General features: G+C 40.4%; 2 protein-coding genes across 12 annotated transcripts in view, besides 4 other annotated features; both read left to right on the top strand.

Moving 5' to 3' along the window:
• The window catches only part of TPD52-MRPS28 (TPD52-MRPS28 readthrough), a 252848-nt gene that overhangs the window by 54397 nt on the left and 181405 nt on the right, over positions 1–17046 (top strand). The window lies entirely within an intron of this gene.
• TPD52 (tumor protein D52) overlaps positions 1–17046 on the top strand; it is a 140483-nt gene that overhangs the window by 54397 nt on the left and 69040 nt on the right. Inside the window, exon 2 of one of the 11 annotated variants that reach the window (NM_001387780.1) lies at positions 7233–7340. The exons of the other annotated variants lie outside the window; for them this stretch is intronic. Coding sequence (NP_001374709.1) covers positions 7298–7340 — 43 coding nt within the window. The 5' untranslated portion in view covers positions 7233–7297. The remainder of the gene's footprint in view (positions 1–7232; positions 7341–17046) is intronic. 11 annotated transcript variants of the gene reach the window in all.
• Positions 13751–13860: an enhancer, noted in NCBI's record as "active region_27556". NCBI's record gives its function as "activates an Ori minimal core promoter by ATAC-STARR-seq in GM12878 lymphoblastoid cells {active_cell/tissue: GM12878}" and the evidence as "EXISTENCE:reporter gene assay evidence [ECO:0000049][PMID:35858748]".
• Positions 14574–14623: an enhancer, noted in NCBI's record as "active region_27555". NCBI's record gives its function as "activates an Ori minimal core promoter by ATAC-STARR-seq in GM12878 lymphoblastoid cells {active_cell/tissue: GM12878}" and the evidence as "EXISTENCE:reporter gene assay evidence [ECO:0000049][PMID:35858748]".
• Positions 14926–15426: an enhancer, noted in NCBI's record as "H3K4me1 hESC enhancer chr8:81013977-81014477 (GRCh37/hg19 assembly coordinates)". NCBI's record gives its function as "activates a minimal SCP1, AML or CMV promoter by ChIP-STARR-seq in primed H9 embryonic stem cells {active_cell/tissue: H9 hESC(primed)}" and the evidence as "EXISTENCE:reporter gene assay evidence [ECO:0000049][PMID:30033119]".
• Positions 15034–15163: an enhancer, noted in NCBI's record as "active region_27554". NCBI's record gives its function as "activates an Ori minimal core promoter by ATAC-STARR-seq in GM12878 lymphoblastoid cells {active_cell/tissue: GM12878}" and the evidence as "EXISTENCE:reporter gene assay evidence [ECO:0000049][PMID:35858748]".

Below are 17046 nucleotides of genomic sequence, written 5' to 3'. Positions count from 1 at the left end.
CTTTTTCTTGCCTAAGTGTCCTGGCTAGAACCTCCAGTTCAATGTTAAATAGAAGTGATAAGAACAAATACCCTTTCTGTTCCTGGTCTTAGGGGAAAAACATTCGGTCTTTGTTAACTAAGATGTTAGCTGCGGTTTTCCATAGACACCCTTTATCAAACTGAGGAAGTTCCTTTACATTCCTAGTTTGTTGAGTGTTTTGATCATAAAGGGTGATGAATCTTGTCAAATGCTTTTTCTATGTCTCTTGCATCTATTTTGATGATCATATGTTTTAGTCCTTTATCTATTGATATGATTACATTGATTGATTTTTGGATGTTAAAACAAACTTACATTCCTGGGATAAATTCTACTTGCTCATACTAAATAAACTTTTTTTTTTTTTTTAACATTCCTAGATAATGGTTTGCTAGTATTATGCTGAGGACTTTCGTGTCTGTATTTATTAGAAATACTAGTCTGTCGTTTTCTTGTGATATCTTTGTCCGATTTTGGTAGCAGGGTAATACTGGCCTCATAGACTGAGCTGCATAGCATTTCCTCCTCTTCTATTTTATGCTGAAAGTATTTGTGAATAATTGGTATTCATTCTTCTTTAAATATTTGGTAGAATTCACCAGTGAAGCCATCTGGGAGTAGGCCTTTGCATGTGGGTGGTTTTTGAATATCTTTGCTTGTTAGAGGTCTTTTCAGATTTTCTGTTTATTCTTGAGTCAATTTCAGGATTTTGTGTCTTTCTAGGAATTTGTCATTTCATCTAAGCTAACCAATCTGTTGGCACACAGTTGGTCATAGTATTACTTTATAATCCTTTTTATTCTGTATGGTTGGCAATAATGATTGCTGTTTTAATTCAGGATTTTAGTTCTACCTTGCTTTTTAATGCTTTATATTTTAGAGATCTTTTTGTAAAAATTGAATTCATCTTTTAGTGACCACATAGTGTTCCATAACTAACCTATTTATGGTCATTAATGTTATGAATAATGCCACAGTTAATATCTTTTGATATATTGTAGGGTACTTTTGGTGATAGTGTGTTTCTGAGGGTAAATTCTTAGCAGTTGATTTGTTAGGTCAAAGGGATATAATGTTCAATATTAGTAGATATTGACAAATTATCCTTTATAGAGTTTGCACTATTTACATTTATTTTTCTATACTATGATATCCTTTACTTCTTTGTCTTTTATTGGGTTATTTATTTTAACAAGTTTTTGTTATATTAAGAAGAAATTAGCCTTTGTCATATGTCTTCCAAATATTTTTTCCTTGTTTATAGTTTCTTTTGACCTTGTTGAACATTTTTTGCCATACGGAAGTTTTAAAGTTTTGTGTGGTCAGATTTATCCTCCATTTCCGTTCTGGCTTCTGGACTGGTATCACTGCCATGTATCACACGGTATTACTGCCATATAAATAGGCTCTGTTAGGCTTCAAGAAACAAGTGATGGATTTTATTGAATTCATAGAGAATAAGAAAAGTAGGACTAGCCACACAGTTAAGTTTATGTTTTGGGGATACAGCAGTCTTCCAGGAGTTAGTCTGTAAGGTCTGCCCTCTGCAGGGAGCTTGATTGAAAATCTAGTAGTTGGCTGTTCAGAGATGACATTCCATTCCTCTCTTGCCTCCCTTCCTTCTCTCTAGGTGACATTCTACTGTTATGGTTCTGCTGCCTTTTCCGCCGCTTGTATGACTCTTGATCTTTCTTGTTTATTGAAGCCTTATAGCTTCTGCTCTCTTGCTCTGCTTTTCGTCATCTCTCTGTAGGTCATTGTGGCTTCTGTGCCCATTGGTAAGTACTGACTCTTGGTATCTCCATTTTAGACTCCTGTTCAGAGGAGAGATCAGATTGGTTTGTCAGGTCACTGTTTTTTATTCATTGTAGACCACTGTAGACGGGCGGAGACTTTCTGCCAAGCCTGTCTTCAGTCTGCAGATTGGCTGCTCTTTGCACTCTCCAGTCGGCCTGGGCTTCAAAAGTGGGCCTAAGTGGTTGAATGTAGGGCAGCCCTCTGTGTTTAAAAAAGTCAAAAAGCTTAAAAAGGTGCATGTGGCAGAAATTTTCAAAAAACAAAAGGAGCATTATAAGCAACAGGCCCCTTCCATTGTCTGACTTGTAAAATGTGCAACGCAATAGGCAGCTATTCTTTGTGTACAGATGTACCTCAAATCCCAGACCATCAGGGCCCTCAGTTAGCTAGCGTCAGTGGAGGGGTACGACTCAGACACAATTAACCACAACATATGGAAGCATGGAAGATGGCACTTGGCAGAAACTAAGCCTTAGGAGTGGAGCCTGTCACGCCACTGAATTCAGGGATGTGTTTGAAACAGACACCGTTTCAGAGACCTTGGAGAGTAGTTTCTCATTCACAATAGGCATCACGTTGATAGATAAAGATATTGTGGTATAGGCAAGGCAGCCAGAAAGGGCTACATCAACAGAGGCACAGGGGCAGGAAAGCAGGAAGTAAGGAAATGTCAACTCTTGGACTTCTGAGTCTGACTTAGGAAAAATTAAGGATGGAAAGGTCAGTTAGGGCCTAATTTTGGAGTGTCCAGATTCCCTGAGAGCGTGCTTGGATTTTATTTGATTAGTAGTGGGGAGCTATTGAAAGTTTTGAGCTGGACAATGACATTAATTAACTAATTAATGCAACAAATATTTATGTGTGTCAGGCACTGTTCTAGGCATTTTGGGGTATAACAATGAGCAAAATAAACCAGAAAAAAAATTCCTGCTTCTAAAACTTATGTTTTAGTTGAGGAGGCAGTCAATATTACTATGTGTAATAAGTATATCATATAGTATGCTAGGTAATATATTCTGTTGAAAAAATTTAAAAAGTAGGGTAGTGGGGAATGGGTGTATAGGTGGAGGTTTAGGGAGAAAGGCAGAGTTGTGATTTTATTTTATTTTTTGAGATGGAGTCTCACTCTGTCGCCCAGGCTGGAGTGCAGTGGCACGATCTTCACTCACTGCAGTCTCCACTTCCTGGGTTCAAGCAATTCCCCCACCTCAGCCTGCTGAGCAGCTACAGGTATATACTGCCACACCCAGCTAATTTTTGTATTTTTGGTAGAGACGGGGTTTTACCATGTTGGCCAGGCTGGTCTTGAACTCCTGGCCTCAAGTGATCTGCCTGCTTCAACTTCCCAAAGTGCTGGGATCACAGGTGTGAGCCACCATGCCCGGCCTGTGATTTTATATATGCCTCTTATTTTTACTTGACACATAATTGTATATATTTATTAGATACAGAATGATACTTTGATATCGGGATACAATGTGTAATGATCAAATCAGGGTAATTAGCATATTCTTCACCACAAACATTTATCATTTCTTTGTGTTGTGAACATTTAACATCCTCTCTTTTAGCCTTTTGAGGATATAGAATAAGTTATAGTTTCTACTCTCTACTTCCATGAGGCCACATTTTTTTTAGCTCCCACATATGAATGAGAGCAGGTGCTTTCTGTGTCTGACTTGTTTTGCTTATCATAATGTCCTCCAGGCTCATCCATATTGCTGTGAATGACAGGATTTCATTCTTTTTTATGGCAGCATAGTATTCCATTGTGTGTATATGCCACATTTTCTTCATCTCTTCATCTTTTGATGGATGTTTAGGTTTATTTCATATCTTAGTTATTGTGAATAGTGCTGCAGTAAACATGGGGATTCAGGTATCATTTTGAAATACTGATTTCCATTCCTTTGGATAAATAGTAGTAGGGTTGGTAGATCATATGGTCATTCTATTTTTAGTTTTTTGAGAATCCTCCACACTGTTTTCCATAGTTACTGTACTAATTTACAGTCTCACAAACAGTGTATATGAATTCCCTTTTCTCTGCATCATTGCCAGCACTTGTTTTTTTTTTTTTTCTTTTTGACAATAGCCATTCTAACTGGGGTGAGATGATATTTCATTTCATAGATGTGATTTTAAATAGGTGGTCAAGGTAGGGTTTAGTGAAAAGGTGCCAGAAGATAGAACCTGCTGCAGGTTGAGCATCCCTAATCTGAAAATTTGACATCTGAAATGCTCCAAAATTTAAAAGGTTTTGAGAGCTGACACCACAAATGGAGACTTCCACACCTGACCTTGTGACAGGTTGCCGTCAAAACTTGGTTTCATGCACAAAATTATTAAATATAGTGTATAAGTTTACCTTCAGGCTATATGTATAAGGTGTATATGAAATATAAATGAATTTTATGTTTAGACTTGGTTCCCATCCCCAATATATCTCATTAGGTATATGCAGATATTTCAAACCTGAAAAAATCGGAAATCTGAAATACTTCTGACCCTAAGCATTTCAGATAAGGGATATTCAACCTGTAGTTCATTAGGGAGAATATTATAGAAAGCCAGGTCGAATATTGTTGAATGGGTTGGGGGGTTGCTGATGAAGAGTCTGGAGGCAAGAAAACCACTGAAGATTTGTGTGAACTGATAAGTCGCTTCAGTGTTGGAAGTGAAATTTTTTTCCACTTGGTTTATATTTTTCTACCTTAGCAAAGAAGTCCAGCAGTTAACTAGCCCAATAAACTCTACATTGTTTTTTTAGACTTGCGAGATACGATTTCTAAACTATTGGTATTCTTTACTACCAAGAGTCTAGTGTTTCTTTATTTATGGACTACTCATACCAGAATCACTTGGGGGTACTAGTTAAACATAGAGATGCCTGGGACCTGCCCCAAATCTTGGAGGAAGAGCAAGATAGTGGCCAAGAACACAGGCTCAAGGTAATCAGTCTGGGTTCAAATCCTGGATCTGCCCTTACTTGACTGGGTGGTCTCGAGCAAGATACTTACTTACCTTTTCTGTGCCTCAGTTTCGCCATCTGTAAAATGGGAATAATGATAATATCTACTTCATAGAATTATTGTGAGGATTAAGTAGATTAATTTATGTGAAGTGCTAGAGCACTGCTTATCACCTGGTACACACTTAGTGTTAGCTACAATTGTTTGTATTCAATCATAATCTCTGAAGGTGAGGCAAGTAATCTTCAAATTCAACAGTCACCCTGGGTATTTTATTTGTCCTTGTGCTGTGGGAAAAACTGTTATTACTTCTGGAGCCATGGTGAATTCTGTGAGTGGTCCACACATCAGGTATGGTGACTTAGTTAGAATATGAGCCAATTAATGTTTTGATTTCACACATACAATGGTTTATTTAGCAACAAATGCCACTGTTTACTGTACATATTGCATGTTAAGCATATTCTGTTGCCATTCACAACAACCCTATGATGTAAGTAAATATCACTCAGATTTTACAGGTGAGAAAACTGAGGCTTACACTGATGAAAACTTTCCCTAAGTGACACAGCCTGTGAGCTGTGCAGTTGTCATTGATCCTTGGCTCTGCCTGACCCAAGAGTACTTGTTCCTTCTACATCTTCTAGTTATTCAACCTTTTTATCTTGCAAACATATATATTTTATAGTCAGATGCATTTGTACAAATTCTTTACAACTATTGGATAAAAACCTCACTGGGCATGATTTATTAATGGTAAGCTAGTTGCATCATTCTATATGATCAAGATCTTAAAAAATTTTGTCTTTGTAAGTGTAGAGATATAGGAAAAACCAAAGTTCTTTTCCCATTCTAACATAGTCACTCAGTACCACACAGAATGCTTCTGTTACCAGTACATGGGGGTTTTTCCCTACACACTAACCAAACAGTTCTGCAGCAGACATCAGCTCTGGTGTCTCCTCTAATTCAATTTAATTTTGACTCTATCTAGAGGTAGTGTCAGATCCCACTGCTTGAGAGCTCAGTCCCATAAGACTGTCCCCCACTTCAGATGCCAATCAAAGTCAGGGCCTCCAGAATATGGAATTTCTGACTGACCAGTGGTTAAAGAAAAACTTAAGCACTTTTAAACCATTTATTTTTATTTTTTATTTTTATTTTTAGAGACAGGCTCTTGCTCTGTAGCCCAGGCTGGAGTACAGTGATGATATCGTAGCTCACTGCAGCCTCGAACTTTTGAGCTCAAGTGATACTACCACCTCAGCCTCCCAAGTAGTTGAGGTTACATGTGCACATCACGATGCCCTGCTAATTTTTATGTTTTTATTTTTCTTAGAGACAAGGTCTCACTATGTTGCCCAGGCTAATCTTGAACTCCTGGCCTCAAGTGATCCTTCCACCTCACCCTCCCAAAGTGTTGGAATTACAGGCGTGAGTCCCCACACCCAGCCGAAACAGCTTGAGCATTCAGCAGTTGATGGATAGGGTAGCAGCAGACCACAAGGGAGTGTCACTCCTCCAGGAGGGGCAAGAGGGGAAGCTTTTATAAAGTATTTGCAGAAGCAAGACAAATAAACCAATTTTGATTGATTAGAGTGGAAAGTTCCTAGTTAGAGATTAGTTGGTAGTTTCTGATTGGTGCAGTTTCTGGTTTTAATTTACTGTTTACATTGGGCTTTGGTTTGTTCGATTAGGGATTTAAAGTGACAAGAGCTACCCTACCCTAGTCTAATGGACTCTCAATTGGAATGGTTTTTTTTAAGTTTCCTCCTTTTTTTTTTTCATTTATTTATTTATTTATTATTATTATACTTTAAGTTTTAGGGTACATGTGCACAATGTGCAGGTTAGTTACATATAAGTTTCCTCCTTTTGGTCAGCCTCTCATTTATAAACTTGGACGTAAGTGCCACTCTCTGTCACCATCATGGCTAGGTTGTCTTTGTCTTAGTGTGGAACTCATAAATCATGACAACAGGCTCAATGAAAAACAATTCCTTTTGTTGTCAATCTCATTTTTTTTCTAATCACAGTGAGACAATCTGGTATGCTGTTGATGTTTTTGAATATACATTTAAGACCCTTGAGAGAATATAGTGCACCAGGAAGATTATAATGATGACTACCAGGAGGATAATACTGAGAGACTTAGCTTCTTAGTTAAAGTCCCCACGAACCAAACTAACTAATATTTCTATGGAAGCAAAAGAAAAACAAAGCTTAATGATAAGAACAAATCATAAATTCGGTCTCTGAGTCCAGAGGGTGATTAGTCAGGAAGATTTCTAGATTTGAGCTCTAAGCATATTTTCCTGGTTTGCAGTTTGAATGCCCCTAGTTATGGCAGTGGGCATTTTGGTGAACTCCCTGAGTGGTCCACACATCAGGCATGAGGGTTGTCCTCTGAACTTGTATCAGGTATACATCTCCATCTTGCAGGGTTTCAGGAGCAGAGCAGTTCTTGTTCAGAGTGATTCCAAGTCAGAAAAGTGGGAGAAAATTGGATGGAGGAACCTAGAAGAACTGAGGATTCAGTGCAAACTACAGGTAGATAATAAAACTTGAAAACAGTTAATAGGGCTGCAGTCTAATAACAGGTGTACTATTGTTTCTTTCTGAAACATAATTTTCTCTCTGTAGTCATCCTTGTTTCTACCAAAGATAAATGGGCCAGGCGCGGTGGCTCACACCTGTCATCCCAGCACTTTGGGAGGCCAAGGCGGGTGGATCACCTGAGGTCAGGAGTTCGAGACCAGCCTGGCCAACATGGTGAAACCCTGTCTCTACTAAAAATACAAAAATTAGCCAGGCATGGTGGCAGGTGCCTGTAATCCCAGCTACTCAGGAGGTTGAGGCAGGAGAATCGCTTGAACCTGGGAGGCGGAGGTTGCAGTGAGCCGAGATTGCACCATTGCACTCCAGCTTGGGGGACAAGCTTGAGACTTCGTCTCCAAAAATAATAATAATAATCAGTGTAAGACTAATTTGATTGCATAATAAATTTTGTCTCATCAGACTTGGCCTGATTATGTAAGTGCAGTAAGAATAGTGATTGACCGCACAAGTTCTTTTTAAAGTTTGTTTTGCTGGAACCTTTGATAGGGAATCAGATTGAACTTTTAAAAAAACCTCTTAAATCTAGGAAGCCAAACCAAGGCAAATTTTAGACTTCACCTGCAGTACCTATATATTTGGGTGAATTCTTCTCTTCTCGTAAGGTCCCCCAAATATCTTGAGGTTCCTGGGTCTGCTGGGAACTGATAGCTTTTACTCACTCACTGTGAGACTGGGAACACTTTTAGCCAGGCATTCTATGCACACTGTCAAATATGACCCTTGGTAATATAACCAATGTTTCCAATTGTGTCTTGTTATAAAGAGAACAGATTCTTTTTGAACTTATGCAAATAGTTATATTGCCATAAAAAAAATCTTCACAAGTAGCTTTCCAAGTTCCCGAGGATCAGGTAGAGAGGAAAAGTAAATACTTCAATCTTTATTCACAAAAGTATACTTTTCCAAATTGCTGCAAGCAGTAGATAGCTTAAAAGGTAAAATGTTTCTTAAAACTTTAAAGAACCAGCAAAACTTCCACATATAAAGTCATAAAAACATTATTTTCATCAGTTATTCAGTCTTATGTAATTCTTGTTCTGCATGATCTCGGGATAGCAGTTTCACAAACTCACCAGTTTCTTTATTAGCGTTCTGAGAATTCTTACCCACTTTCATGGCATTATCTTAATTTAAAGTTATAAGAAACCTGTATATCCAGAGTACTTGTCAGAGTTCTTTCCGTGAATATCTTTGAAGAAGAAGCAATTTTGGACTATAGCTGATTGCAAATGCTTTTAGAGAAAAATCAAAACAATAACTGCCTATGGATGACAAGACTTAAGATGGCCATAGTTAAATTCTAATGAGGTTTCATTATAATAATGCAACTGACAAAAAAATCTGGTTATTTTCTGTGACATACAACATTTTAACATAATAATCAAGATTATGACTGTAGACATTTTATAAAACATAATTTCAAAAAGTTTTAAACTTTTATTCCATTTATATTTAAGTCACTCCTTCTTAAACAAATATACTTGAATTGCTCATGAAAAATGTCATGAGATATTGAACAGAGTTAGCCATTGAAAGAGTTCAGGAAATGCCACTCCAAAATTTACTGCTTTGGAATATTGATTGCTTTGAGCCGAAAGCATTTGAAAAATAACAAATGCAGGGAGGGGCTTTTTGGGACTCCTTTGTCTGCCTAAAGACAGGTCCTCCAAAGAAATTCAGCTATCATCCATGCCTTCTCCCACGCCATCATCTTAATGTTATTTAATTTTTCTTGACAAATCAGGCAGGTATCACAGTTTTTTACTTCCATGACTGACGTGCATCAAGATCAAGCAATTCATTTTTACTGCACATTTTCCTCTTAGGTTGGATTTATGGTTTTATGATCTTAAACATCTAGCAGAGCCAACACCAATCTGTCTAACCAGCAACCCAGGAAAAACTTGAGAATTCTGAGAAACTCCCATTTTATTTTACCGACAATTTAAAAACTAGCTTTATTTACCACAGACTTATGTAAATCATGTGAACTTATTAAAAAAAAAACACACATTTGGGTCAGTTTCTGCATTTCTGAGAGTTTTAGAAATAATTTACATGCATGCTCATTTATCCCCAAACCAATTTGAATAGATCTCCATTAAAGGATTTTATAAATTGGTTTAGTAATACCATCTGAAAATATCACATATGTGTGTGTATATATATAGACACACACACACACAAACATTCATACAAAGACAGACAGAAGGAGATAACGTCTGGTTTGAGTCACTTATTAAAAGTAGTCCAAAGGTCCTTCTTGGTTGTTGGTTGCTCCGCAGTTGCTATAATTACAAGGCCATTAATTTGGAAACCTTTTGTTTCTCATCTTGCTCTGAGGTCCTCAGCTAACTTACTTAACCCTGTAGCTTCCTTATCCTTTTCCTCTCTCTCTTTCTTGTTTGGTAATGTTGTGGGGAGACTCCATTTACAAAAAGGACAGCTAGGATTAGCTGAATTGATGTAATGCTTGGAATGCTGTAGGAAAAACAAAAGGTCCAAGTGGGCTTTGAAATTAGTAACAGATTCATTTTTCTTTTGTCTGCAGGTCTGGTTTAGTGCAGGTGGGAAACACTTTAGGAATGGCTTTCAAAAGCTTATTTATGGCCGGGCATGGTGGCTCACGCCTGTAATCCCAGCACTTTGGGAGGCTGAGGTGGGCGGATCACGAGGTCAGGAGATCTAGACAATTCTAGGTAACATGGTGAAACCCCGTATCTACTAAAAATACAAAAAATTAGCTGGGTGTGGTGGCAGGCGCCTGTAGTCCCAGCTACTCGGGAGGCTGAGGCAGGAGAATGGTGTGAACCCGGGAGGCAGATCTTGCAGTGAGCTGAGATCACGCCACTGCCCTCCAGCCTGGGCAACAGAGCGAAACTCCGTCTCAAAAAAAAAAAAGGTTATTTATGTTTTTTTGGGGTTTTTTTTTGCTTTTTGTGGTTTATATATGAACCAAATTGGGTCTCATGGCCACAGATATCATCTTCAGAGTGATACCCTTCTGCCTTTTGCGTCCATTTTGGCTTTCCTCATGTCCTATCCACATGAGTTTACTGGGTACAAAAAAAAAAAAATAGAACGAGTAAGACCTACTATTTGAGGCTGGACACAGTGGCTCATGTCTGTAATCCCAGCACTTTGGGAGGCCGAAGCGGGTGGGTCATGAGGTCAGGAGATCAAGACCATCCTGGCTAACACGGTGAAACCCCCTCTCTACTAAAACTACAAAAAATTAGCCGGGTGTGGTGGCGTGCACCTGTAGTCTCAGCTACTCTGGAGGCTGAGGCAGGAGAATGGCGTGAACCCGGGAGGCGGAGCCTGCAGTGAGCCAAGATCGCACCACTGCACTCCAGCCTGGTGACAGAGCAAGACTCTGTCTCAAAATAACAACAACAACCACAACAACAACAACAATAAACCTACTGTTTGATAGCACAACAGGGTGACTACAGTCAACGATAACTTAATTGTACATTTAAAAATAACTAAGAATATAATTGGATTGTCCTTTGTGTTATACAAAGGATAAATGCTTGAGGGGATGGACACCCCATTCTTCATGATGTGATTATTATGCATTGCATGCCTGTATCAAAACATCTCATGTACCCCATAAATATATATACCTACTTTGTACCCAAAAAAGCTAGAAAAATCTAAAAACCCACAAAAAAATAGGAAAAAAATCCATGTTTACCTAGGTTGCCAAGTTCAGAGCAAAACCCATTCATGAATAGGGCAGACAAAGCATTTTCTCTGCCAGACAGGGATACCTTTTATTATTGCTCTGAGATTAAGATTTTGATCAAGACATAAGGGTACATGGCGAAACCCCACCTCTACTAAAAATACAAAAGTTAGCTGGGCGTGGTGGTGAGCACCTATAATCCCAGCTACTTGGGAGGCTGAAGCTGGGGAATTGCTTAAATCCGGGAGGCAGAGGTTGCATTGAGCCAAGATTGCACCGCTGCACTCCAGCCTGGGTGACGGAGCCAGACTCCATCTCAAAAAAAAAAAAAAAAAAAAGCAGACCTGGGATGGGTGTAATCCTAGCATTTTGGGAGGTTGAGACGGGAGGATTGCTTAAGTCCAGAAGGTTTGTAGCAGGACGAGCCGCAGACAAAACCCCTCAGACACTGAGTTAAAGAAGGAAGGGCTTTATTCGGCTGAGAGCATCAGCAAGACTCATGGCTCAAAAACCGAGCTCCCCAAGTGAGCAATTCCTGTCCCTCTTAAGGGCTTACAACTCTAAGGGGGTCCACATGAGAGGGTCGTGATCGATTGAGCAAGCAGGGGGTACATGACTGGGGGCTGCATGTACCGGTAATTAGAAAGGAACAGAACAGAACAGGACAGGGATTTTCACAGTGCTTTTCCATACAATGTCTGTAATCTATAGATAACATAACCGATTAGGTCAGGGGTGGATCTTTAACTACCAGGCCCAGGGTGTGGTGCTGGGCTGTCTGCCTGTGGATTTCATTTCTGCCTTTTAGTTTTTACTTCTTTCTTTGGAGGCAGAAATTGGGCATAAGACAATATGAGGGGTGGTCTCTTCCCTTAGGTTGAGTCTACAGTGAGCTGTGTTCATGCCTCTGCACTCCAGTCTAGGTGACAGAGGGAGACCCTATCACAAAAAGAAATGAATTAAGTAAAAAATTTTCTTTTAAAAAATTTTTCTTATTTTTTATTTTTTTGAGACAGTATCTTACTCTGTTGCCCAGGCTGGAGTGCAGTGGCACATCTCAGCTCACTGCAGCCTCAGCCTCCCAGGTTCAAGTGATTCTCCTACCTCAGCCACCCAAGTAGCTGGGATTACAGGTGTGCGCCCTCATGTCTGGCTAATTTTTGTATTTTTAGTGGAGATGGGGTTTCGCCACGTTGCCCAGGCTGGTCTTGAGCTCCTGAGCTGAAGTGATATGCCTCCCTTGGCCTTCCAAAATGCTGGGATTACAGGTGTGAGTCAGCACGCCCAGCCTAAAAATGTTCTATTAAAAAGAAGCAGACCTGGTTAATCTGAGAACCTAACTATAAATACTCATTTAGTTCTTTTTCCTTCAGGGCATGCAGATAAACAAGCAAAAAAAAAAAAAATCAGCAGACTCAGAGTAGACGAGAGGTTAGAAACCTCTACATGCCAGTAAAAAATACTTCTCATTTCTGTTTTTTTTGTTGTTGTTTTTTTTTTTTTAAATAGAGATGGGGTCTTGCTCTGTTCCCCCGGCTGATCTCAAACTCCTCAGCCTCCCAGAGTGCTGAAATTACAGGTGTGAGCCACCGTGCTTGGCCCTTCCCACTTTCTGAGATGTTCAAGATCGTGTGTGTACGTGTGTATGTAGGTGAACAATTTTGTTTAGGTAAAAACTTCCACTTTGTAGCCACTAAAATTCTAAATTGCTTTTGGTAAGATTTGCCCATTCTTTTAGAAGAGCTTAGGTTCTGAGATGCTATTATGAGAAGCACTTGAGACTATAACATCCTTCTCCCCACACCCCCAAACTGGGAAGGAGCTGGGAGACCAAAGAATAACTTGGATAAATCTAGCTTGACGGCTAGATGAGCTTGTTAGGACTTAACTTCAGGACACTCCTGGATGGTGGCTGGACAGCTCTAGAGATCCACACCACCTCCCATTTCTAAGCTGCTTTTAAGTTAATTTTCTGGCCCTTTGTCAATTTTGTGTGGTTTTCCTTGATATGTCCCCAGCTATGCCCCAGGATGTTTAGGTTCTCAGGGACACGTGGTCCTTGGCTGGGCGCAGTGGCCTTGGTTCACTGCCTAGCTTTTGGGGTTCAAGCAATACACATACACTCTTAAGTAACCTGGTAGGGGACCAGTCACACTATAGATGGAGTCCCAGACTCTGGATTTAAATAAACTCATTATTTCCAGTCTTCGTGGAACCTTTCCTAGTGGAGGTCTTTTGCTTAACCCAGTTTGGTTTTTGTCTAACCTAGTTGGACACCTGAAGCCTCCCTGCAAAACCCAGTCTTGTTTCTGCTGTGACTTCCAAACCTAGTCTGGAGCAGAAATGTTAAAATGAACTTGGAGAACTTGACGCTAGTGTTAGAATGCACGTATCTAAGTCTACTTACTGGTGATGACCTCCAAATGTGCAGGGAGTAAGCACAAGGGGCTCTGTGGGGTAACTGTATCTGTTTGCTTGTTGCTCCCAGAGGTCATTATCATGTAGTGTCCATTGGATCCCACTTCTGATATCAGATCTGATAAAAGAAAATCTTAAGCACATTTACATTTTCAGCAGTTTAGTTGAGCATTCAGCAGTTTGTGAATGGGGTAGCATCAGACCACAAGGGGCTAGCACTCTGCCCACAGGGGCAAGAGGGGAAACTTTTATAAAGTATTTGCAGAAGCAACACAAATGAAACCAATTTTGATTGGTTAGAGTGGAAAGTTTCTAGTTAGAGGTTAGTTGGTGATTTCTGATTGGTGCAGTTTCTAGTTTCAGTTTACTGTTTACATTGGGCTTTGGTTTGTTCACACACGAATTTAAAGTGACAGAGCTAGTCAGTCAGACTCAATCAGAATTTTTTTTTAACATTGCCTGTAAATTGGGGTTTCCATGACTCACCTCCTTGGGTTTGATCAGTTTGCTGGAGAGTGGTTCACAGAACTCAGGGAAACACTTTTCTGATATTTACCCATTTATTAAAAAGGATATGCCAGAGGATAAATATGCACAGTTTGATGGAAGAGGTGCATAGGGCGAGGTGTGGGAGAAGGGGCATGGAGCTTCCATGTCTCCTTTGAGCATGCCGTTCTCCAGGAACGTCCATGGGTTCAGCCATCTGGAAGCTCCCAGAACTGTTTTGTTGTTGTTGTTGTTTGTTTGTGGAAACTTTATTACATAGGCATGGTTGATTAAATCATTGGCTGTTGGTTAATCGATTCAACTGTAAGCCCCTCTCCCCTCCCAACAAGTTGGGAGTGGGACTGAAATTTCCGGCCCTCTAATCACATGGTTGGTTCCCCTGGCCACCAGACCCCATCTTGAGGCTATCTAGGAACCCCCAGCTACTAATTATCTCATTAATACGCAAAGACACTCTGATCACTCTGGAGATTCCAAAGATTTTAGGAGCTCTATGTCAGGAAACGGGGACAGACCAAATATATATTTTGCAATATCACAACACGATGTTCTAAAAGGCCTTTTCTATTTGCGAGGTATTTTTCTGCTACCCTCTGTAGCCAGCCTCCAGCATGGTTTGTGATGATCTGGTCTTCACACTCGTGTAGTTGCCTCCCACATGTTACCAGGTTTAGTCTGTGTGACCAGTAGAATATAGCAGAAATGATATGTCACTTCTAAGATAAAGGACAGTGGCTTCCATCTAGGGGTCTCTTTCTCTGTCAACCACTTTCTCTGGAAAACCAGCTGACATGTAGTGATCAGGTCCATAAAGAGGTCAACATCGAGAGGAGAAAAAGGCTCCTCAGTAGCTACGTGAATGAGCTTGAAAGTGAGTGAGCTTGGAAGCAAGCCTTTGGAGATTACAACCCTGCCTGAGGGCTTGCCTGCAACCCCAGGGGAAATCCGGAGCCAGAACCACTCAGCTAAGCTGCTCCCTCATGCCTGACCTTCAGAATCTGTGAGATGGTAAATGTTCAATGTTTTAAGCTGCTGAGTTTTGGAGTAATTTGTTTTAGATAACTAGGACATGCTGCAATTCCTATTGTGAGTCGAGTTGTACTCCTTCATTCCCAATGCCCTGGAGCCCCTCAGTGTGTGCACACAGGCTTAGTTGCATGCACTCTCTTTCTCTGTCTGCCTTCCTCCTCTGTTTCTCTTTCTCTTTGCCTCTCTCTCACACACACAATTTCACTTGGCTGCTGACACGGTTTGGGTGTTTGTTCCCTCCAAATCTCATGTTGGAATGTGATACTCCCCGGTGTTGGAAGTGTGGCCTCATGGGAGGTGTTTGGGTCATGGGGGGGATCCTTCATGAATGACTTTGTGCCCTCCCCTTGGTAATGATCAAGTTCTCACCCGGTTGGTTCACACGAGAGCTGGCTGTTTCAAAGAACCTGGTCCCTCTCTTGTTCCTTCTCTCACCATGTGATGCGCCTGCCTTCCCTTCACCTTCCACTATGAGTGGAAGCTTCCTGCGACCCTCACAGAAGCAGATGCTGGTGCCATGCTTCTGTACAGCCTGCAGAACCATGAGCCAAATATAAACCTATTTTCTTTATAAATTACCCACTCTCAGTTATTGCTTTTTAATAATGCAAACAGATTAACACAGTTGCTTAATTCTTTTTTTTTTTTTTTTTTTTTTTTTTTTTGAGCTGGGAGTCTCACTCTGTCGCCCAGGCTGGATTGTAGTGTTGCCGTTTCAGCTCACTGCAACCTCCACCTCCCGGGTTCCAGTGATTCTCCTGCCTCAGCCTCCCGGGTAGCTGGGATTATAGGCATGTGCCACCACATCTGGCTAATTTTTGTATTTTTAGTAGAGACGGGGTTTCACCATGTTGGTCAGGCTGGTCTCGAACTCCTAACCTCAGGCGATCTGCCCGCCTCAGCCTCCCAAAGTGCTGGGATTACAGGCGTGAGCCACCGCGCCCGGCCTTAATTCTTTATTATGTTTATCTGTTATCTACATTATTTCTCTTCCCATACATCTTTTCTTCTCTTTTAAATATGTTGTTGTCTGGGTCCCTGCTGCTAATACGTTCAATAGTAAATATCTCACTGTAACACTTGGTATGGCAACACTCTGAGCTCAGGAATGATGTAACGGTTAAATGTATGTGTGGACTTGACTGTGCCATGGGGTGCCCAGACATTTGGTCAAATATTTTGGGTGTGTCTGAGGCTGTTTTTGGATGAAATCAACATTTGAATTGGTAGACTGAGTAAAGCAGATTGACTTCTCCGAATGTGGATGGGCCTCATCCTATCATTGAAGGCCTGATTGGAACAAAATGGCTGGGAAAGAGGGAACCTCTCTCTGACTGTCTTCCAGCTGGGACATTGGTCTTCTCCTGCCTTTGGACCCAGGCTTGAACTAGAATCTAATGCCACAGTTTCTTCTGGGTCTCCAGCTTACTAACTGCAGGTCTTGGGACCTCTTACTTAGCCTCCATAATTGTGAGATATGAGAACCCTGACTGTACAAATGACCTAATAAACTTTGGCTAGCTAGGTGACTGGAAAGAGCTGACTTAGTAAGTAATTTCTGAGATGCCACCTGCTGAAAAGTCCTTTATCCAGCAGCCAGTATGAACCTGGTTTCAGGTAGGGTTTTTCAGTGAGGCAGATTCTAGTTTCTGTTCCGAAAACAATTGGTTTTTAGAGAGAAATGCTGAAGGTGCTGTTGCCTTTTTGCTTCTCTTTGTCTGCTTGTTCATAAGCAGCAGAGTACAATCTGTAAAGGGGAGTATGAATAGTGTTTCTGTTTTTGTTTAAGAGTAAGAAATTGCCAGAGAAAATAATTAGGGCTTGGATCAGCTTATTTAAAGCAATCATCTTCACACTAAGATATTACTTTGGTTTATTTCAGAGCTTGTTTCTGTGTGTCACTTTGCCCCCTTCTGCAATTTGTGCCCTTTGATTTTCAGTTCTTAAAATTTGGAGGCGAGATTTCCCCAGAGGATTATCTTTCTAAATCAA

Source organism: Homo sapiens, chromosome 8 (assembly GCF_000001405.40).
Source record: "Homo sapiens chromosome 8, GRCh38.p14 Primary Assembly".
Classification (NCBI taxonomy): domain Eukaryota; kingdom Metazoa; phylum Chordata; class Mammalia; order Primates; family Hominidae; genus Homo; species Homo sapiens.
This window is presented reverse-complemented; position numbering and strand designations above follow the sequence as displayed.